Source organism: Homo sapiens, chromosome 1, assembly GCF_000001405.40.
Source record: "Homo sapiens chromosome 1, GRCh38.p14 Primary Assembly".
In the NCBI taxonomy this organism is placed as follows: domain Eukaryota; kingdom Metazoa; phylum Chordata; class Mammalia; order Primates; family Hominidae; genus Homo; species Homo sapiens.
The window spans coordinates 24,954,491-24,974,478 of record NC_000001.11 but is presented as its reverse complement, the minus strand read 5'-3'; the positions used below and the strand labels follow the sequence as shown (position 1 = coordinate 24,974,478).

At 54.2% G+C, this 19,988-nt stretch overlaps 1 protein-coding gene and 1 long non-coding RNA gene across 8 annotated transcripts in view, besides 15 other annotated features; one reads left to right on the top strand and one right to left on the bottom strand.

Moving 5' to 3' along the window:
* Window positions 7,632–7,751: an enhancer, noted in NCBI's record as "active region_427". NCBI's record gives its function as "activates an Ori minimal core promoter by ATAC-STARR-seq in GM12878 lymphoblastoid cells {active_cell/tissue: GM12878}" and the evidence as "EXISTENCE:reporter gene assay evidence [ECO:0000049][PMID:35858748]".
* Window positions 7,802–7,851: an enhancer, noted in NCBI's record as "active region_426". NCBI's record gives its function as "activates an Ori minimal core promoter by ATAC-STARR-seq in GM12878 lymphoblastoid cells {active_cell/tissue: GM12878}" and the evidence as "EXISTENCE:reporter gene assay evidence [ECO:0000049][PMID:35858748]".
* Window positions 8,662–8,761: an enhancer, noted in NCBI's record as "active region_425". NCBI's record gives its function as "activates an Ori minimal core promoter by ATAC-STARR-seq in GM12878 lymphoblastoid cells {active_cell/tissue: GM12878}" and the evidence as "EXISTENCE:reporter gene assay evidence [ECO:0000049][PMID:35858748]".
* Window positions 9,122–9,231: an enhancer, noted in NCBI's record as "active region_424". NCBI's record gives its function as "activates an Ori minimal core promoter by ATAC-STARR-seq in GM12878 lymphoblastoid cells {active_cell/tissue: GM12878}" and the evidence as "EXISTENCE:reporter gene assay evidence [ECO:0000049][PMID:35858748]".
* Window positions 9,302–9,501: a silencer, noted in NCBI's record as "silent region_448". NCBI's record gives its function as "represses an Ori minimal core promoter by ATAC-STARR-seq in GM12878 lymphoblastoid cells {active_cell/tissue: GM12878}" and the evidence as "EXISTENCE:reporter gene assay evidence [ECO:0000049][PMID:35858748]".
* Window positions 9,341–19,988, top strand: part of RUNX3 (RUNX family transcription factor 3) — a 65,628-nt gene continuing 54,980 nt past the window's right edge. For 2 of the 5 annotated variants that reach the window (XM_011542351.2, NM_001031680.2), the window contains exon 1: window positions 9,469–9,965. In XM_011542351.2, the coding sequence (XP_011540653.1) occupies window positions 9,908–9,965 (58 nt within the window). In that variant the 5' untranslated portion in view covers window positions 9,469–9,907. The other 3 variants (XM_005246024.5, XM_047433131.1, NM_001320672.1) reach the window with 3 other exon arrangements.
* RUNX3-AS1 (RUNX3 antisense RNA 1) overlaps window positions 9,771–19,988 on the bottom strand; it is a 34,252-nt gene continuing 24,034 nt past the window's right edge. The window contains exons 3-6 of one of the 3 annotated variants that reach the window (NR_183339.1): window positions 17,000–17,067; window positions 13,867–14,166; window positions 12,238–12,432; window positions 9,771–11,504 (exon numbers count right to left, since the gene is read on the bottom strand). This is a non-coding gene — a long non-coding RNA (RUNX3 antisense RNA 1). The remainder of the gene's footprint in view (window positions 11,505–12,237; window positions 12,433–13,866; window positions 14,167–16,999; window positions 17,068–19,988) is intronic. The other 2 variants (NR_183341.1, NR_183340.1) reach the window with 2 other exon arrangements.
* Window positions 10,903–10,962: an enhancer, noted in NCBI's record as "active region_423". NCBI's record gives its function as "activates an Ori minimal core promoter by ATAC-STARR-seq in GM12878 lymphoblastoid cells {active_cell/tissue: GM12878}" and the evidence as "EXISTENCE:reporter gene assay evidence [ECO:0000049][PMID:35858748]".
* Window positions 11,163–11,292: an enhancer, noted in NCBI's record as "active region_422". NCBI's record gives its function as "activates an Ori minimal core promoter by ATAC-STARR-seq in GM12878 lymphoblastoid cells {active_cell/tissue: GM12878}" and the evidence as "EXISTENCE:reporter gene assay evidence [ECO:0000049][PMID:35858748]".
* Window positions 12,879–12,958: a silencer, noted in NCBI's record as "silent region_447". NCBI's record gives its function as "represses an Ori minimal core promoter by ATAC-STARR-seq in GM12878 lymphoblastoid cells {active_cell/tissue: GM12878}" and the evidence as "EXISTENCE:reporter gene assay evidence [ECO:0000049][PMID:35858748]".
* Window positions 15,409–15,598: an enhancer, noted in NCBI's record as "active region_421". NCBI's record gives its function as "activates an Ori minimal core promoter by ATAC-STARR-seq in GM12878 lymphoblastoid cells {active_cell/tissue: GM12878}" and the evidence as "EXISTENCE:reporter gene assay evidence [ECO:0000049][PMID:35858748]".
* Window positions 15,899–15,968: an enhancer, noted in NCBI's record as "active region_420". NCBI's record gives its function as "activates an Ori minimal core promoter by ATAC-STARR-seq in GM12878 lymphoblastoid cells {active_cell/tissue: GM12878}" and the evidence as "EXISTENCE:reporter gene assay evidence [ECO:0000049][PMID:35858748]".
* Window positions 16,489–16,538: an enhancer, noted in NCBI's record as "active region_419". NCBI's record gives its function as "activates an Ori minimal core promoter by ATAC-STARR-seq in GM12878 lymphoblastoid cells {active_cell/tissue: GM12878}" and the evidence as "EXISTENCE:reporter gene assay evidence [ECO:0000049][PMID:35858748]".
* Window positions 18,507–19,706: an enhancer, noted in NCBI's record as "CDK7 strongly-dependent group 2 enhancer chr1:25281264-25282463 (GRCh37/hg19 assembly coordinates)". NCBI's record gives its function as "activates an origin of replication core promoter dependent on BRD2, BRD4, P300/CBP, MED14 and CDK7 cofactors, with strong dependence on CDK7, by STARR-seq in HCT116 cells {active_cell/tissue: HCT116}" and the evidence as "EXISTENCE:reporter gene assay evidence [ECO:0000049][PMID:35650434]".
* Window positions 19,006–19,055: an enhancer, noted in NCBI's record as "active region_418". NCBI's record gives its function as "activates an Ori minimal core promoter by ATAC-STARR-seq in GM12878 lymphoblastoid cells {active_cell/tissue: GM12878}" and the evidence as "EXISTENCE:reporter gene assay evidence [ECO:0000049][PMID:35858748]".
* Window positions 19,096–19,245: an enhancer, noted in NCBI's record as "active region_417". NCBI's record gives its function as "activates an Ori minimal core promoter by ATAC-STARR-seq in GM12878 lymphoblastoid cells {active_cell/tissue: GM12878}" and the evidence as "EXISTENCE:reporter gene assay evidence [ECO:0000049][PMID:35858748]".
* Window positions 19,286–19,465: an enhancer, noted in NCBI's record as "active region_416". NCBI's record gives its function as "activates an Ori minimal core promoter by ATAC-STARR-seq in GM12878 lymphoblastoid cells {active_cell/tissue: GM12878}" and the evidence as "EXISTENCE:reporter gene assay evidence [ECO:0000049][PMID:35858748]".

The following is a 19,988-nucleotide window of genomic DNA, read 5'->3' as shown; positions in this document are numbered from 1 at the left end:
AGAACTGAAAGTGATTTTTCTCTGGGGCTAGGAAGGACAGCCTTCTAGAAATATTTGACTCTTTAAACCATGAGCATGTATAACTTTGAGGTAGAAAATGAAAGCTAAAATAAAAATGAAAAGATAGACAAAGCAGGTTTCTCTGGTCAAAGTGGTGAAGTGGACAGAGATGCCTTTCCCCCATCCAGCCTAGTCCTTGGGGCACCCTGAGGCATTGTCTCCCAGGGTTCCAGGGGACACTATTTAAAAACCAAGGCCTCACATGCTGAAGCTTGGGTAGGGGAATTTCAGGCCCTGGCACGGGGGTGAGGGAGTGATTTTGTCCCCTATCTACTGTGCCAACACATCACTTTCTTGATGGCAGGACAGCTTAGAAGGGTTGAGTTAGGAGTTAATGAAGATGCACGTGAAATGATGAGTCCTCACCTATCAGAGCTGGGAGACACCCTAGAAATCATATGCCCTGGCCGGGCACAGTGGCTCATACCTGTAATCCCAGCACTTTGGGAGGCTGAGGCGGGTAGATTAGTTGAATCCAGGAGTTCATGGACAACATGTTGAAACCCTGTCTCTACTAAAAATACAAAAAAAAAAAAAAAAGTAGCCAAGTGTGGTGGCTCATGCCTGTAGTCCTAGCTATTCTGGAAGATAAGGTGGGAGAATCACCTGAGCCCAGGGGGTCAAAGCTGCAGTGAGGTGAGATTGCACCACTGTACTCCAGCCTGGGCAACCAGAGTTTTCCTTTTTTTAATTTTAAAAATTAAAAAAAATAATAATTTATTTTAAATTTTTATTTATTTATTTTTATTTCAAAAAATAAAAGATAAATCATATGCCCTAAACTGACACCTCCCCATAAGGACAGGTTGGCCTGAAGATGTTTTCTGGCTTTGAGTGAGCTTTACTCAGTGGTGATGCAAGAATTGCCGAGAGTCATTATTGCCAGAGCAACCCTCGACCAATGAGACCTGGGAGCCAGTGGATACATACCCCAGCTCCCACGCCCCAGGGGAGCAGCTCTGTACTGCACTCCACACAGTCCCTCTGAACGTCCCTGGTGGGGTTGAGCTCCAGATATCCAGGACGGTAAGCCACCCCACCCTGCACCCTGTATGGGCTGCCTTCCCTTCCCTATGTCACTCATCACTTGCCCCTCTCCCTCACCCCTGCTTCCTGGGATCACCCCCCAGATAAACTGTTTAGACTCAGGGTCTGCCTGTGGGGGAACCCAAACTAAGACACCGATCTCAATCCTCCTTTCCCAGATGAGGAAAATGATGCAGAGAGAGAAAAGAACTTTTCTGTGTGCACACAGCAGGTTACTCCCAGAACGTGACATTGTAGAAAGAGCACTGGACCAAGAGTCGGGTGATGCAGATCTTGGCCTTGGCTGTGTGGCCCAGGACAAGTTCCTGCCCCTCTCTGAGCCTGAGTCCTCCAACTGTCAGCCTCGGCCTGTAACCTCACTGGCCAGGGCTCTCTCCTCACGCCAGGCAGACCCTCTTCCCACACGCTGTTATGTGCAGATGCTCAAAGCATCCTAGTTTAATGTCAGGAAAATGCACACAGAGAGAGATGGGAAGCCACAATCCTGGATGGGAACTCATTCTGTCATTTCCTTGAGGGCTGCTGAAATTCCTGGGATGCTAAGTCGGTGGCATACAAAATGCCCCACCATTTCCCAACCACATAATGACATCCCCCCTCCTTTTGCCTGGGTCAGCGAATTTGCTGGCCGGCACACCCCTGAAAACAAGGTCATTATTGTTGAAAGAGAAAGAAAAAGAGTGAGGGAGAAGGGGGGAAAAACCCTGAAGATCAAATTATTTTTTAAAATTACAACCCAATCCTGACATTCCCTGGGACCCAGTCCCTCAAGGAAAGCAGCAGGGACTGGGAGCGGCGTGGGAGCTGGGGGTTGATATGTCAGCTTCTAGCAAAGGCTTTGGGAATTCCAGCAGAATTCAGACACCGAATCTACCACTTCCTACCTATGCAAGCCCAGGCAAGTCCCTTTTCCTCTCTCAGCCTGTTTCCTTCTCAGTAATATGAGGAAGAGCAAGATAGGAGGACTTCCCCTCCACACATACATATGCATCATTTGTTAGGAGAATCAATGGAGGTCATAGGCACCACACCATGGAAGCCTGGAGACTGGAGAGAGCTCAGAGGGCTCTGGGAGATCCGAGTGAGCTCAGAGGGCTCTGGGAGATTGGAGAGAGCTCAGAGGGCTCTGGCTCAGACAGCCCTGTCACGGATCCTGATTCGACGTTTGTTTTAGGTTATTTTGAGCAAATCCTTCAGCTTCTCCAAGCCTCTGCTTCCTCTGCTGTCAATGGGACTAATAATAATAATAATAGAGACTGTCTGGGTTCAAATCTCAGCTCTGTCCCTTCTGAGCTGGACTTGGGCAAGTGATTTGACCTCTCTGAACCTCAGTCTTCTTATGTGTTAAATGAATTAAGTTGATTTATGCAAGGTTCTTAGACGAGTCCCCAGCTTGTGGTAGGTGCTAAAGAAGTGCTAGCTTGTGATTATTGTTAGTATTACTAGGTTTGTAGCGAGAATGCACTAAGAGGAAATGGTGAGGGCACAAGGCCTGGCCCCAAACAGATGCTCACTGAATGGAATGGGAAGGAGCCCTGGGCCAGGCATCCAGAGAGTGGGGCTCTCGGTGGCTCTCTCCCTGCTCTGCCTGCCCTGAGGGTGGGGCTCCCTTCCTTGCGCCCTCCTGCCCCATCCTAGCTGAGGAGTGCCCGCCTCTGAGCCACGCTGTGGTCACACAAAGCCCTTCCCTTACTAGGTCTAAGCCCGTGGCAGAACCCTTTGATGCTAAAAATAGATTATTCCACCCAAAGACCCAGAGAAAGATCATTTTATGAGCCAAAAGGGCTGTCGTTTGGGATTTTTCTTCTTCCTCTGAGGGGCCTGGAACTCTGAGGGAGGGAAGCATCTTATGGGCAAGACTCCAGGTCTCAAAGGAACACAAGAGAGGCCCCTGAGCTGAACAGCATCTCAGGGAGGTCACGCCGAGTGACTTCTCCAGCACCCCATCCTGCAGTCTGGTACCCAGGTTCAGGCAGCCCTTGGCTGGGTCGGCCTCCAGAAACCGCGGGAGCTCAGTGCCCCTCACAGCAGGCCTTGGAGGAAGTGAGTGGGAGGGCAGGAATCTGCTGGGGGGCGCTAAGGCCCTGGCAAAGTGGTGAGTCAGACACGCGCCCCCTTCCACCATGCACCTCTGCCCTGTACTCCCCTACACGCATGCATACACATGCAGTCTCACACACACGCGCACACAGACACGAGCTCACACTCACACATACACACCCACACACATGCACACATACATGAGTTCACACACTCATACACATGCACACTCACACACACTCACATTCATGCATGCTCACACCTACGTGCGTGCAGACACGAACTCACACACACATACACACCCACACACATGCACACACACAAGCTCACACACACCCCTACACACACTCACACACACAGACACGACTTCACCCTGGCCGAGTGCCCACCACATGCTCTTCCCAGGAGGTCCCTCTTCACCTTCACCCCTGAGGAGATGACAGGTGCTTATTTTTCCCACTTTGCAGGTGAGAACAGTGAGGTTCTGATAGCCCCGGACACTAGCACGCCCTTAGGTGGTGCCAGAGCTGGGATCTGAATCTGGCTCATCCATCCAACTCTATGGCCTCAGCACCTTCACCCCCTTGGAAGGGACTTTAGGGAGACACGGGGAGTGGAGGGGTATCCTGGGGACACGACGGGATGTGGCTGCAGCAGACCTGCCGGTGAATCCTTCTGACTCACCGTGTGACCGTATGTGAGGCCTTCCCCGGTGAGCCTCAGTTCCTGGGCTGGACGCTGGGGAGAGCCGTCTCCACCCTGTCTGCCTCCCGAACAGCTTGCTCTGGAAACTCCCATAGGAGGCATTTGTGCGTAGGTGGCTGTGGGGTGAGAGGAGCATTGCTGATCATTATTTAAGCAAAGATGACACTGGGCAGAAGGGGGCAGCGAGCCCATTCCTGGGGAAACAGGATGCATCCCAGCCTGCGCTCTCCCCCCTCAGTCAGCTAATCTCCCCAGGCCGACGCTGCTCCTCCTCCCGATTCCATCTGCCTCTTAAACGCGGGACTTCTCACTGAAACGTATTCAAACCCGAACATGCACTAAGGGAACTTCAGACAGGAGGAGAGGCAGCAGGTTGAGCTCTTGGGGTCCCTGGCGAGGCAGACGCTGCGGGTGGAGACAGTCCTTAGTTTGTCCTCGGTGCCACCACCCCTGTGGTACAAGAGACACTGAAGCAGCTGTATGGGGTGGCAGCTCCAGGCTCGGCCAAGAGCAGGGCCCGAGGCAGGAGGTGAGGACTGGTGGTTCTCGTTCTGAAGTGGGCACCGAGAGCAGTTTTTCAAAACAACAGGAAAGAGAGAAGCGGAGGGCGGGCTGGGTTTGAATCCTGCTTCCTCCACCAGCAAGCTGGGGGACCTTGGGCAGGTCTCTCCACCTCTCTGGCTCTCCCCCAGAGACTATCAGACTGCTTAGGCGCGTGGTGCCGTCCTCAGAGCCCACCCCTGGAGGGATCATGCCTAAAGCTCTCAGCATGTGCGCCCCAGGTGGTAGGTCCTCAGCTGATGATCCCTTGGCTTGGCCTGGGTGTTCTGGTCCTGGGTGGGTTGCACAGCTCTGCAGGCCCCATTCTCCACCCCCGGAGAGGGGCTGATCTGGCTGAGTGGCGGCATCTTAGTGTCTCTGTGCTAGCCCTCGAAAGGGAAGTGCCCCACCCCCACACCCACCCCCAGCCCACGGCAGATATCGCTCCAGCAGCTTCCCTGGGCTCACACCAGGATCTGCTGATGAAAGGCCAGAATTTGAACTCCAAGGCCAGTGTCCACCTCGAATCTGCTACCTGCCCGGTCCAAGCTGGCAGTGCGACTCCTGGAGGCTAAATCTTGGGGTTAATCCCTGTATTAGTTTTTTCCTCCTCTGAAAAGTGAGGAGGGCCACCCTGTCCTGTAGGTTGTTGGGAGGATCTGGTGGTTTGAGGTGTGCTGTCATCGAAATCATAACGTTCAGAGGCAGGGTCTGCATCCAGTGCTCATCGTGGTGACATAACCTCAGCCCTGCACACAGGTTAGGGAAATGAATTTCATCACCATTCACAGGAGACACCTTCTTAATTGACCCCCGGGTATCTCCCAGGATTCACCTGTACTTCTCGTATAAAATACCAATGGATGCCCTCAGCTGGCAGGCCCTTCTCTGGAATGCCACATCTCCTCCCACCAGCCACTGAACCGTCAGCTTACCAGACGTGAGTTGGAATGTGTCCCAACCAGTTGGTGCCAGCTGGGTTTGCATGGCTATAGAACGTCATTGGAGATTATGCCAGTCCTGGGCCAGTTTGCCCACAGATCAGCTCTGCTCATTCCCCTGTTTGGCTCTGTCACACAAGGGTTTGATGGCACGGGCTGCATTCCCCGAGCTCCTTGGCCAGCTGGTCCCCGCTACATTCAACCAATGGGAGGCACCAAGAGAAGATGAAAAACAAAAGCAAGGGAGAAGCCAGGGTGTTTCTCCCCTCTATTCTTTGTCTCAGGTGATGTCTCCATGTGGCTAAGTCTCCTCTGTGACTCTAGCAAATGCCGGACTGGCCCACTAAGTTCCTGCTTCTGCTGGGGGCCCTGGTAACCCCACCTCTCTCCGTGTCCCTCTTACCCAAAGGGTGTCAGTGGCTGAACTGATGCTCACACTGGGACTCCTCACTGTCTCTGTTTGGCTCCTCAGGTTGTCCCTCACCTGTGTTGCTAACACTCCCTGAATTAACTTCCAGGACTCAATATGGCTCCTGTTTTCCTGGTTGGACTCCGACTGATGATAATGCCATGAGGTCAATCGTGTGATGCCGAACAGGAGCCTCTGCTTCTATGAAAATTGGGAAGATTCAATGAAGGCAAATTGCTAAAAAATAAATTGAATTTGGTATGGGTGGGACATTGTAAAGGATGGAAAGAAATAGTAAAATCTAGATGATGCCACATGCTCATTCTTTCCTTAGCATCTTTACGTTCATATTCCACGTTAAAGAAATCAAAACTACGCCAGGCATGGGGGCTCATACTTGTAATCCCAGCACTTTGAGAGGCCGAGGCAAGAGGATCATCTGAAGCCAGGATTTCGAGACCAGCCTGGGCAATATAGTGAGACCCTGACTCTACAGAAAAAAAAATTTAAATTAGCTGGGCGTGGTAGTGCACACCTGTAATCCTAGCTACTTGGGAGGCTGAAGCGAGAGGATTGCTTGAGCCCAGGAGCTCAAGGTTACAGTGAGCTATGATTGCACCACTGCACTCTAGACTGGGCAACAGAGCAAGACCCCGTTTCTAAAAAAAAAAAAAAAAAAGAAAGAAAAGAAAAAAGAAACCCAAACTGGAAATTGTTAAGCTAGAAGAACAAGAGGAAGGCCATTTAATGCATATTTATAAGTTTAAAGCTAAAAGAAGGGTTTAAGATACTATTTTTATGATTCCCTTTTATTTTTATATAATATTTCTTATGATTCCCTACTTCAACCATATTTTTTTATTAACCTGATTTAAGTTTTTTTCAGTGGAGAACAAGAGGAAGCCTGACTGCCCACTGCACGACAGGGGAATGCACAATCAGAATTTCAAGGGAAGGGAGTCCCTGGAAATTGAGCACCTACTATGTGCCAAGCACACTCACAATTATTTTCTCATTGAGTCCTCTTTATGACTTTGGGAGGTGGGCACTACAGTTGGCTCCATTTCACAGGCGAGGAAACCGAGGCTCAGAAGAGTAAAGCCTCTTGCCCAGAATCTCACAGTTCATAAGAAACAAAGCAGGCTTCAGGTATGGCTGGTTTCAGCCTCCTTGTCCTTTCTGCTTCCCTTGGCAGCTTCCCCAGGGCTGTTTAAAGCTTAGCACATGCTTATGAGGGGGCATGTAGAGATGATAAGCCCCTTAGCGGCAAGGACCAAGCTTGGCTCCAATTCACCACATTGCCCCGAGAATGCATTGAACTACTCGGTGCACAGATGGATCACTGGGCCGTGCACAGCCTCTTGAATTCCCTCCCCTTCCTGGGCCTGGACTCAGGTTCCCAGGGAGGGGGAAGCCCCTCAGGGTGATCAAGTTATAGGGGCTTGGGGGGGGCCCACTCTTAGGTGTGGAAAAAACAGCAAAGCACGTAGGGTGGTATGTTCAAAACTGGAGGCGGTGTTGGTGGAATGGAAACAGCTCCTGGGCTGGGAAGCAGGGGCTTGGGTTCCACTGACTCATTGGGTGAACTTGGATGAGTCTCTGCTCCTCTGGGGGCCGCAGTTTCGGCTTCTGTATAAGGGGGGGTCTTCCCAGCTGTGTCATTCTCCAATCTATTTCACAGATGGCTGACTCCAAAAGGCATCAAATTCAACCAGGAGGTCAAGGCCCCTTGGCAGGTCCCCCCTGTGCCATTGACCCCTGAGGGTCCCATGCAGGCTGGCCAGCTGATGAGTTTACAACACAGGGTGGGGGCGGGGCAGCCTCTCCCCCTGCATGACTGTCATAGCTCCTTACTTGAGCTGACTCATAACGGAGCCCAAATTGCGTCATGGAGGCTCAGCCAAGGAAACCAATGTTTATGATGCCCTCACCCCGTGCCTGTCCCTTTGAAGAAGGTGTTATCCCCATTTTACAGGGAAGAAAACTGAGGCCCAGAGAAAGGAAGTGACTTTCCCCAGGGTCTGGCTGCTCAGATTCAGCAGAGCTGGGGCTGGAAGCCAAATCTGACTCTAGAGCTCTGTGGCTGTCACCATAAACCTGCTTCCTCTCTGGCCAAATTAGAACTCTTGTCCCCACCACCCCCACCCTCAGCACCAATTGACCCACCATTCAGGGACAGAAGACTGAATCTTCATGAGGCTTGAGATGAGGCTGAGTGAGCGTTTCCAAGGCCATCTTCTGCACATGTGCCTTGGGCAGAAACAAGTCTCTTTGGGACCTTGGACCAGCCCATCCTCTTCCAGGGATGTCCCCACCCCATCCTTGTTGGCCTACAGAGGCTACTGTGAGTCAGAGGCTGGTGCTAGGTTCTAGCCCCAAGCCTGGGGTCCCTGGGAGAGGCCAGGGGTTGGTGGCCAGGCTGCAGAGGGACTTTCTGAAGTCTTCATTTAAAGGGCATGGAAGGGCACTCTGGTGTCATGCCCAAGGTCGGGGCTGGTGAGTCAGAGGCTGAAGTTCCAATCCCATTCCAGAATACCACATGACCTTAGACAAGCTGGCGTCACCACCCTGGGCCTCGCAGCCTGGCCTGTGAAATGGGAGAGTAGAGCTTGCAAGGGAAATGGTAAAAGCCGCCACCTTTCCCCCACTCTCCACCCTCTCTCCCATCCTGACATGACTTTGGGGAACATGCAAGTATAGGGTTCAATCGTCTTCATGACTTTTCTACTTTTGAGCCTCTCTGGGCCTTGACTCCTCAAGGACATGAAGACACAAAGGGCGCTTCTGGTGAGGGGAACAGCATGAGCGAAGGCCCGGAGGCAGGGAAGCTCCCGAGCATCATGCTGGGGCAGAGACCCCCAAGGGGATGCGCAGGTGGCAACAAGAGGAGTAAAGGGCCCTGAATGACATGCTGGGGACTCAGCCCCCAGCCCTGCAGAGGGCCCCCCAGTGCGGGCAGGCCACCAGGTTTCCACAGGAAGGCCCTTCTCGGTGGGCAGGCCGAGGCCAGGCGTGAGTGCTGGCAATGCCACTTCATGTGTTTCCCGTTGTACTTAGTCCCAACTCCCATAAAAGCCCCAGAGGTGCCACCCAGCCACACATGTGGACACCTCTCCCTGGCAACAATGGTGGTGGACAATGGCAGGGAGTCAGCCGCAGCCCAGGGGCGAGGTGGCATGGCAGGGAGCTCTCCGGCCGCTGGTGGATCCGGGCTCTGGGCACTCGGTGAGGGGCCCGCGGGGCTCCTAGCCCGCCCAGGCCAATGCTGGCCTTAATTAAGAAGGAGTCTCCCACCCAGGAGCCAAACCACCCTCCTGGCCACGCCCACTGCAACCGCTTTCAGTTCTGTTTCTTGGGCCGCGTGCTGAGGCCAGCCTCACAAATAAAAGCCATCACTTTTCTATTTCTCTCTCTCTCTCTCTTTCTTTTTTTTTTTTTTCTTTTCCAAAAAGAGAGGCAGCCACAAGATCTTCTAAAAGGCCGTGACATCACGGCCCAGGTGACCGCGGCCCAGCCAATGAGCCAAGGCCGCGAGCAGGCTTCTCGCATCCTGTGAGCTGAGGTTGGGTTGACACTGGGAAGGCCTGGTCCCTCAACCACAGAACCACAAGGCCAGGCCCTTGCCGCCTCCAGGGCCCTGCGCGGGAGCTGGTTGGCTCCTGGTGCTCCCCACCCCCGGCCGCCCTCGTACCCACCAGAGCCTGGGCTCTGTCAAGGGTAAGCCTCATTCATTCATTCCCCGTGGCACTGGAGGCGGCCCACTCTGCTCTGTCAGCTTCGGAGCTCCTCCACCCTGGCTGCCGAAAGCCCCTTCCCGCCATCTAATGATACACTCTGCATACGCTTCTGTTGAGAATTTGTGGCTAGACATTCCTGTGGGACCGGGAATCCAAATTCTTGGGTACAAACAGAAACTTACTTTCCTTGGGGATTTTTTTCTCTCTCTCACTCACACACACTCTCGCGTTCTTTCCTTTTTTCTTTTTCGTAGCAGCAGGGGGGAAAAAAGAGACAAAAACAAAACAAAAAACAACAAAAAGCAACACCCCCCCCTTTTATTTTCAAAAGTAGCTAGAGGAAAAAAAAATAAAACAACAGCCAACCAAGTGAATCCCAACCCAACCCCCTGAAGGGCTGAAAATTCTCGCCTTCTTCAGAGCGGGGCATGGCATCGAACAGCATCTTCGACTCCTTCCCGACCTACTCGCCGACCTTCATCCGCGGTGAGTAACAATAGCCCAGGGCCCTGGGTGGGGAGCTGTGGCCAGGCCCCGGACCACGTCCCTCCACTGACCGCCCTGGCTGCCCTCAAGCGCACAGCCTGTCCGCCTAAATCCGCTGGCCTCTGAAAGCCTGAGGTGGGAAGAGGGGTTGGTGGTCTCTGTGGTCTCTTGGCGTGGAACATCGCTGTGGCACTTTCATCCTCCGCTGGTGGGGACAGTAAGCCGTGGGGGCGATGGATACTCCAAGACCTCAAGACCTCAAAGGGCAGCCCTCAGAGGGGCCAAGGGAAACTCTCAGGGACCCTCGGCTTGCTGCTTCACTAACAGGGCCCCAGGGCCTGCAGCCCCAGCCCCTGTCCTGCCTGGGACTCCCCACCTGGGCTCAGGAGGTCACTGCTGGCAACTTCTGGGGAGAGCTGTGGGATGCAGGGGTCTTCCTGGAGACCACCGCCAACATTTTGTGTGTAACTCCTGGGGTATCAGAAGCAGAGGGAGGAGAAGGAAGCCACAGGCTTTTGTGGAAAACTGCACAGAGCTGGGCTGCACTGAAGCTGGACCTGCACGGGGCAGGGGGACAGACCTCGAGAAAGTTCGTGGATTTGGCCACGGAAGAGGAGAAAGTGTTTCTGGGCAGCTTTTGCCTTTTTTGGTGGCTGCAGGGATGCAGAGTTCTGGGTTGTGTCTCCCAGCAAGGATAGGGGGTCTGGGATCCCCGACCTGGAGCCTCTAATGGGGCTGGGACTCATGGGGAGACTTCTCCTGCCTCTGTCTGGCATTTAGGGCTGATGCACCCTGGCCTCAGACACCCCCTGCTGCCTTCCTCCTCCCTAGCAGGAGCCCAGATGGGGCTGTGACACCTGAGACTGGGGATCAAGAGTCCCTGAGCTCAAGTCCCACGGCTCAGTGGCTTCCTTGCTGAGAGACCTTAGGAGGGGAGTTACTTAACCTCTCTGTGCCCCAAATAGAGTCCCCTCTGCTTGTGGAATTCTCATTGTCTGAGCCTGGGGGTGGACCATGTATAAGGGCAGTGCCTCTGGATGGTTCCAGAACAGAGAGGCTGCATGAGATCTAGAACTTCAGGGTTGGGGGCTGGTGCTGCCTTTCCTCAGCCGAGGCAGTCAGCAGAGATGCAGAGGTGGGTCTGCCTGCCTGCCTACCCTCCAGCCCATTGGCCTGCCCTGCCGCTGGCTGACCGAGTGATTCAGGGCTGCTGCCTGGGTGGCCGGCTCGGGGCAGGGACCCAGACACATTTGGGTGTTTGAGTCCTCAGGCTTCTGGGAAGGCTTGTCTGAGAGCGGGGCCTGTTCTTCTTCCCTGGTGAGGCCAAGGAAGGCTGTGCTGCTGCAGATGGGGACTGAGTCGGGGAGTGAAGGGGGCCTGCTGTCCCCTGAAATGGGGGCACTCCCATCAAACCTAGCTGTAGCTGATGATGAGCGGCAGCCCCAGGTCTGAGAGCTGAGAGCTGTGGCTGCTTCCTTGGAGTTGCTGCTATTATAACGTTGTTCCCTTTGTAGTCCTCGGAGCTAATTAAAGGCAGTTCTGTGGCAAGAAAATAAGAGTTTATAAAATCCATTTGCCGGGTCTTTGTAATCTGTATTTCTCCTTCCGTGCGCAAGATGGAGAAATGTAGGGTTTAAAACAAAGGAACCTTGGGAGACAGGGCTAGAGCCCCGGTCGGCCTGGGCTGGGTCCTGATCCTCGGAGCCTGGGAGGTGGCTGGCAGTAGCACAAAGGGCACAAAGGGAGAGGTGGCTTTGGCCCAACATGTCATGTATGCGCCCAGAGACAGGAGGCCGCTGGGCAGAGCGGGCTGATCCTGGCCAGCAGTGGCACAGAAGGCGCCTCATAGGCTAGGGTCTGTGGAGATGTTTGGATCTGGGGTCTGTGGCCCGAGGGCCTTCCCTCCACTTTTGTGGAGACCTGTCTCCCCTCTTCAGCCTTCTCTCTCCTGTTCATTTCTGCTCACGACGTGCTCGCCATGGGGGCCTGTCTCCCAAATCCCATCCCTGGAGGCTTACAGGGCTCCAGCTGCCAATTCCTTCCTCAAAGAGACGCAGCCCCAGGGTCCCATTTGCAGGGTGCCAACCCCACGCTGCCCCCTACAGGGTCCCTAACCCACCGACCCTTGGCAGTCTCAGGGAACCTTCAGGTTCCTCCTCGGAGTTGCGTTTTTAAACGCGTAAGACAAAATCCAAAGGATTACAAAGGAAAAGAAATCGATGGAAATACCATTGTCAAACTCAGAAAGCAAGCTGGTGACATATTGACTCACGTTTTCCATTTGTTGAACTCCATTTGTCTGTGCCTCTTCAAGAACTCACTGAGTGACAAGACCCCGCGGTGGGCCATGCAGTTGTGATGAGCATGAACAATATTTCAGGTCATCCCTGACCCCGCTGTGATACCAGAGAACACCTGTGATTTCCACTGGTGGAAAATCGCCATGGAATATGATGCTAAATTTCAGCTAGAGGCCAGGGAAAGGAAAGACACGGTTATCTCCAGCCCAGTGTCACAGACCCCCTAAATTATACGCAAGACAAAAACTCCAGGTCCATCCGGGTCTCGGGTTCTCAGAATCTTACTCGGGCTGTTCTCTCGTCCACAGGCTTTTACCAGAAGGGGAAGGGTCTCCCTGTGCCCCCCACTGCCTCCTCTTCCTCCTACCTGTGTCTTCCAAATGCCATCCCATCTCAGTCCCTGAGCAAAGTGTGATGGAGCCAGCAGGTTTTCTGAAATCACCGCCCCTAGAGAGTTTTAAACACTGGATTCCCAGTTCCTACCTCAGGCTGTGGAGGATTCTCCATTCCTACCTCAGACTGCGGAATCAGAATCTCTAGGGTTTGGGCCTGGGCAGGTGTGGTTTTGCAAATCCCCTAAAGCGATTCTGATGTGCCTCTCAGGCAGGCTTGGGGACTGCTGCCAGGGAAGCCCAGTCCCCTACCTGCCTCTGCCGCCTGTGTGCTGTGAGACTGTGTCTGAGTCACTTGACATCTCTGGATCCGTGTTCTCTCATGAGTAAAAGGGCACGAGTGAGTTGCATTTGGTGCCTCCTATGTGGGCTTCTCTGTCTCCCCCACCTGACAACCCAGGGTGGTCCCTAGAATTATCACCGAGCTCCTACTACCTCAGGGTCCCCATAGACCAACGGAAGATGACTTCCCTTTTGTCTTCACTGGCAAAAACAGGCTGAGAATGAAGCATCCCATCCATGCCTCTGCCTTCAGGCACCTGTACTCAGCCAGTGCCACAGCCTGTGCAGGGGCCTTCAAGGCAGCAAGGGAGAGATCCAGACCCCTGGAGAGTCCGACTGCTTGTGCATGACATTCCCACGGCTCCCACCCAGCCCTCCCCTCTCAGTTTCTCTGACTTTGAGCTAAGGGATCAGAAACTCCCCTCAGTTCACTGTGGAGAGAAGGGGTGTGGGAAAAGGGTGGAGAGGCATTTGGTTCCCATCCTGCAGTAGAGGCGTGAGCAGGAGGTGAGAAGAGGGCAACGCCTACCCTCAGGGCTGGTGCATGGATGGTGGAATTCTAGAAGCTGGAATGGAAGGTGTGAGAGGGCACAGGGGCCCCCTGGGGTCTACCCCCAGGCAGGACAAGGGGGATTTATTCTCCCTGTGTGACAAATGGGGAAGCTGAGACCTAAGAGCTGTGATCCAGACACTCTGTGTAACTAAGGACAAGTCCCTTCCTCTCTCTGGGCCTCAGTTTCCCCGTCTGACAATTATGGGCCAATGGCCCTGAGGACCCCTTGCCCATGCACGGTTCCACTGGGGGCCAGAACCTTCATTCTGAATCTGCCTCATGAGGCCCTCCTCTGCACCCCCTGGGGCACCCCCCCCTCACACCAGGTCACCTTTGCTGAACCCTCACTTGTACCCCCACAGGCAAACACTCACCAGGGACACTGGCAGTGGGTGCCCCTCCAGGGAGGGAAGCCAAGGAAATGGGCCCAAACTGCCACATGTAGGCTTTAAGGGGGCTCTGGGGCGGCGGGGGGGCAAACGCGTTCATCTGTTTAGTCAGTCATTTCCCAAAAACTTATCGAGGTGTAGAGTATCGAGATTCCAGCTTGGGCTTTAGAGCCAGGCTCTCCAGGTTCAAGTCCTGACTCTGCCCTCTGCCGTCACCTGCATGAGTTACTTCACTTCTCTGTCTCTGGTTTCCTCATCTGTAGGGGTTACACCAACCTTGCAGAGCTATGGAGAGAATTAAAGGAGCATGATGCCTGGCACAGAGTAGTTGCTCAATAAGCATTTTCCATTTGATGAACACCATGAGCATGGCCTTGTACTGGGAGCCCGGGGGAAACTGGGTCAGGATCTCCATCCTAAGAGCTCACCATCTGGTGTAGAAAAAGATGGGTCAACAGAAAATTGCCCTGGGGCGTGACAAAGGTTTTTTGGGAGAAGAACCAGGGCTGTGAGTTCAAAGAGGGGTACTAGCCCAGCCTTGGGAAAGAGAGAACAAGTCCTCTGGAGGAGTGACTTGGAAACTGGGTCCCTAAGGGTAAAGAGGTAACAAAGACAGGGAAAGGATGTTCCAGGCAGAAGGAACGTCCTGGGCAAAGGTGTGGAAGCAGGAAAGTATGAGCTGGCTCGGGAGCCACAGGGAGGGCTGGGAGCGTGGTGTGGGTCTGGCCGAGGTCCCCCTAGCAGTGGTTGGAGTTGGCCGGCAGCTCCTCCCCTGAAGATGCCTGGGAGAAATGGAAAGTGGACTCTTGGGTATGAGGCAGGCCTGTGTGGAGGCAGGGGGTGGACAAAATGGCCCTGGGCAGGTCTGGCCGAGATGGTCTGACTCAGAGGTCACCGGACAGGGAGGAGGCTGCCCAGACCAGAGAGGTCAGTCACTGTATCCTTTCCGAAGGTCCAGGAAGTTCCAATAACAGGGGACTCTCTGTTTTAGCACTGAAAGCTCCACGTCCCAGGAAACCCCTTCATCCCAGGCAACCCCTGATGGCTGGTCACCCTGAGCACATGTGTCCATGGGGCCTCCCCCTCCCCGCCATCCCTGGGAGAGGAACAGACTGACCGCCAGCCCTTCCGTGCCCACTATGGCGCTTGCCTGGCGCCACGTCTGCTAGGTCCCTTTGATGGCGGCTTCTGAGGCTGCCCTGCACACACCCGTCTCCCCAGACCACCCTGCCTGTCCAAAGTGCCCCCCAGGCTGGAAAAGCATTCCTAGGAGCCCCCCACTGCCCACAGGGTCTAGGCAGGCATGAGCCGACCCCACACAGCGGGACTGTGTGTCCAGGCCTCACCGCACCCACTCTGGCGGGCTGGAGGCCCCCAGCAGCCCCACTGGTCATATAGAGGGCTCATTGACGCCTGGGCCTGGAGGTGGCCGCATCAAAGCGGAGGCTCCCTCGGTTACCTGGAGGGAGGAGGCCGGGAGACGGATAAGCAGAGCCTGAAAACCTGACCTTCCAGCGGGCTGTGAGAGGCAGGAGGAGAGTGGCAGCCTCTGACCCCGGCCTTGCCACTGAGCCAGTCCGGACTCCTCCATGGGTGGGGAAACAGGCCTGGGCTCTGGGTTCAGTGGGGCAGCCCCAACACCAGCTCTTATTGCCATCTCCTGGGGATGCCTTATCTGCAGACTCTTCCTCAAATCTGCCACCCAGAGTGTGCCCCCACCCCCCGTAGTTGGGGAATCTCACCCAATCTTCCAGACTGAACCCAAACACCCCCTCTGCTAGGAGTCAGTGCTGGGACACCTGCAGCCACTGGGGAGCCCTGTCCTCCTGAGCTTCAGTCCGTGGGCCTGCCCTGAGACTCAGCGAGTAGTTCCCTACCTTGCTTAGTGGAAGTAAAGAGAAGGAAGGAAGGAAGGGAGGGGTGGAGGGAAGAAAGATTGCCTTTAGCCCTCAGTGGATCTACAGCCCAGGCCTTTGCCATCTGCCCTAAAATAGCACCTCCTGAAGCCCCTGGACACAGTGGGGATGGGAATCTCGGGCCTAGGGCTGGGAGTGGGACTCTGGTCTTGCTTTGAGAAGTCACAAGAACAAGGAACAGTGAATCAGTCCAGGAGCATATCAGAGCCCGGAGGCAGAGAGTTCCCCTCCTCATTTCATACATGACGAAACTGAGGTCTAAAGAGGTGTGTGGTCTTGTAAAACATTGAATTCAGCAGCAGGAAAACTGACTTTCCTTGCCTCCCTGGGGTCCAATCATCCGCCTTGCACACAGTTTAGGAGTCAGAACAATCTAGGCTTAAACTGCATGGTAGCTGGGTGACCTGACATGTTAATTCACCTCTTAAGGTCTCAGTTTCCTCCTCTGTAAAATGGGCTAGTAACACTGACCTCAAAGGGTGGTTGGGAGGAGCAACTGTGGCCCTACCCTGAGCCCCGCATGTGGCACCTGGTACACAGGGAGCACTGGCCTGGCACAGGCCGGCCTCCTGATCGGCTCGGGCCCCTCTGCGCCAGCGTGATCCCCTGCCACTCAACAGATGTTTCCACATCTCACCCTCCTGCTCTTTCTCCAGCGCCAAGCCCTGGTTTTTTCAGGGCTAGAGAGGGCTGAGCAGGCACAAGACTAGAGGGACTGTCAGACCCCTTGTCAATGGCTCCCAGGGATAAAGGAAGGCACTCTTCGGAGAGAAAGCAATGTAAAATGCGGCTATAAGCCTCAGCTGCAGCCAGGCTCTGCCACTTCCTCGCTGTGTGGCGTTGGGAGAGGTGCCTCACCTCTCTGTGTTTCATTTTCTTACCTGTAAAATGGAGAAAATGAATAGCACCCCCTCAAGGCATGTTGGGTAGGTTTAATGAGGTAGTGTGTATCACGTGCACAGCACAGGGCCCGGCACAGACAAGCCCTCATGGAATGCCAGAAATTACTACTATTTAATGTTCCTCCTCCTCTGCAAAAGCCTTCTGTCTGACTCTAAGCAGGATGTGGAAGGTGAGAAACCCTGGCCTGTCTTCTCAAGGCCCAGCTTCATGGCCGCCCCCTTGGGGAGCCTTCCCAGCCCTTCCCTTTCTCCCCTCCAGGCGGTGGGGGTGCTCTGCCATTGCTGCCCCTCACTACTCACCCCACAGGTGTCCAAAGGGTGTTCTTGGGAGCAGGGGCAGGCTCACAGGTGATATTCAGCCCTTCTCACTGAATGGATAGAGGAAAGAAAGAAAGAATGGATGGATGGATGGATGGATGGATGGATGGATGGATGGATGGATGAACGAATGAATGGGCTGACGATTGGTCAGCCTGAGAGTTTTCCAGCTTCTCCCTCACTTCCCCCTTCACTGTCTGGCTTCTTCTTTGAAACACTTGTTGGCGCGAGCCTGAGCACTCCGGTCCAATCGGTGCAGGCAGCGTGAAGGTTTAGGTTCCTCTTTGGGGTTTTCTTTCGAGTCTGGGAAAAGTGTTTTTGGCAAAAGGTTCAGACTTACGTGTGGGCGGAAAGGGCAGACGCATATAACTTATGATTTGAAGGGTGACCAAAGTCAGCCCCCTCCAAACATCCTTCAACGTGGGACATGGTGACTGAGATTCCACCAGCACATGCAGTCCCTGTGGGGGGGAGCTTTTGTAAATGCAGGTCCCTTCCCATCATGCACACCTGAGTGTCCACAGTCTGCCTGATTCCTTGGCCTTTGTTGAGAGGAGTTAAAAGGCTGGAGCAGAGGAAACAGAGGGCATCTGGGGGACGGAACGCTTGGAGAACGCAAAGGGAAAGGCGGATGGAGTGGAAAGGGGTGGGGAGGAAAGGAGGGGTCCATTTTGGTCATGCCCCTATTCCCAAACCCAACTTGCCTGGGCACCAGGGCTGAGGACCAGCACCTGTGGCTTGGCCTCCAGTGCTCCTTCCTCAAGCCTGAGTTCTGTCCCACCCCACCTCCGTGGGGTAAGCAGGGGCAGGAGGGGAGGCCTGCTGACGTACCTCCCCCAGCTCTTCGCACCCCTGTGTCTCGGGAAGAGGTGCTAGGTCCAGGGGGGGTGGAGAAAGGACCTCCAAGTCAGAAGTGATAAAGAGCCCATGGAGAGAGCCTGGTGCCCCCACATCTCCTACAGAGCAGCTATATCCCTTCCCAGGGGGAGAGAAAGCCACCTCTGAGAGCAAAGCCACCTCAGAAAAAAGACTAGAGGGAAACACTGAAAAGTCCATAGTAGTTAATACTGTGTGGTCCGCCATGATGGCAGGTAACCTTTATTTTATATTCTTTTGATTATTGTGTATTTTCCAAACTTTTAATACTTGTAAATTTAAGGGAAAACAATTTTTGTTTTCAGAGAAAGAAAGAGGAAGAGGCAGTCCCACCCTCCCAGGAACAGGCAAGCTGGGGCTCCCATCAGCCTGAGCTCCAGCCTGGGAACGGCCTGCTCCCACCCAGGCAAGGCCCTGCTGGCCACCCTGCTCTCTGTTCTTCTTCCCAAATCACTGTGTCTGTCACCTGCCTCCTTGGCTCTGCCCTGTCGGGCTGTGGAGCAAGGGTCTGCCCCGGGCTGCGCAGAGCCATGCATACAGTAGGTGCTCAGGAAATGCTTGTGACCTGAGGTGTGGTCCCAATCTGCAGACAGTTTCCCTGGAGAGGTGGGCCTACGTCCCCAGCGGACTTAGGATGTGAGGTGGGCGAATTGGTTGCTGCTGATTCATTCAATGAACATTTATTGAGCATCTACTGCATGCAAGCACTGTTCTGGGCACTGGAGATGCAGAAGTGAACACAATGGACAAAGATGCCTTCTCCCTGGGGCGCCACATTCCTGTGATGTGTGGAGAGAGACTGCCTCAGGAACCACCCTCCCCCCCAGTGTTTTTCAGTGTCCCAGCTTTCCATTTATAGATGGGGAAACTGACACTCAGAGAGGAGGCAGTCCTTGCCTGAACCCCGACAGCCAGGGAGTTGCAGATGCTGTTCTAAGCTCCAGAGCCTCGAGATTCAGCCCAGACCTTAGCCTACCAAGCCCTACTAAGGTAGGCTCTCTCCTCTGGCCACCCACACCCCTCTGGCTTAGGTCCTTCCTACCTATGCAGAATCTTGGCCTCCTGGCACTTCCATAAATGCTCTGGATTCCCCATTAAATCCTCATCACAGCTCCGTGTGCTGGGCATCACCACCTCCATTGTGGAGATGAAAACAGACTCAGGCAGATGGTGGGACTTGCTGCAACTAATGTTTAAGAAGAGGAAAGAGGACCTTGAGTCATCCTGTGGTCTGTCTGACATCAAACCAGCCCGTCAAACTCTCCCTTCTGCCCGGAAGATATCTTCTCTTCCTTGGCCTGAGGGCACCACCTCCATGGAGCCCTCCCCGATACCTCTAAGCGAGGTGATTCATATCCTCCTCTATGCAACCACAGCATCTTCAGGCCCTTCTCAAATACTTCCTGAAGTCTTTCTAGAAAGGGTGGAATCTGAGATGGGTCTAGAAAGGGCAGATCTGGGGAGGAAGGAACCTTGCTGGTACAAGCAGAGTGAACAGCATGGGCAAAGGTATGGAAGAAGGATCACACAAAAGGATTACATGGAGATGGAAGGTTTATGGGTCCTGTGGAGGGCTTGAGGGAGAGGAGACTGAGGAAGAAGGTGGGCCAGGCCTGGGGTTGGTCATGGCTTCAGGACACAGGGCTCCAGGACTGAACCAAGCTGGGCCGTGATGTGGGGCAAAGCATCCCATGATGCACAGGGCGGTTCTCTGAAATAGGCCAGTGTAGACATGGCCTTGAGGGTAGGTACGTGTGTGAACAGAGACCACAGGGGCCTCCCGCACCCACTCACGAGCCCTGTTTTTATCAGTCTCTAGACACACACCTGAGCAGCCGAAGCACACTTGCTCTGAGGCACGTAGAGGGCTCCGTGGATGGCCACGTCCGTGGTTGGACAAGGACAAGGGCGAAGGCTTAGAGCAGCTGAAGGGAAACCTGTCCTGGGGAGAATCCCAGGGCTAGTGACGGCGGCATGATTTTCAGGGCACAGTGCAAAATGAAAATACAGGATCCCTTGTTCAAAAATCAGTAAGAATTTCAGGACAGCGACCACAGAACACGAAACCAAGCATGAGGCCCTTCTAAGCAAGGGA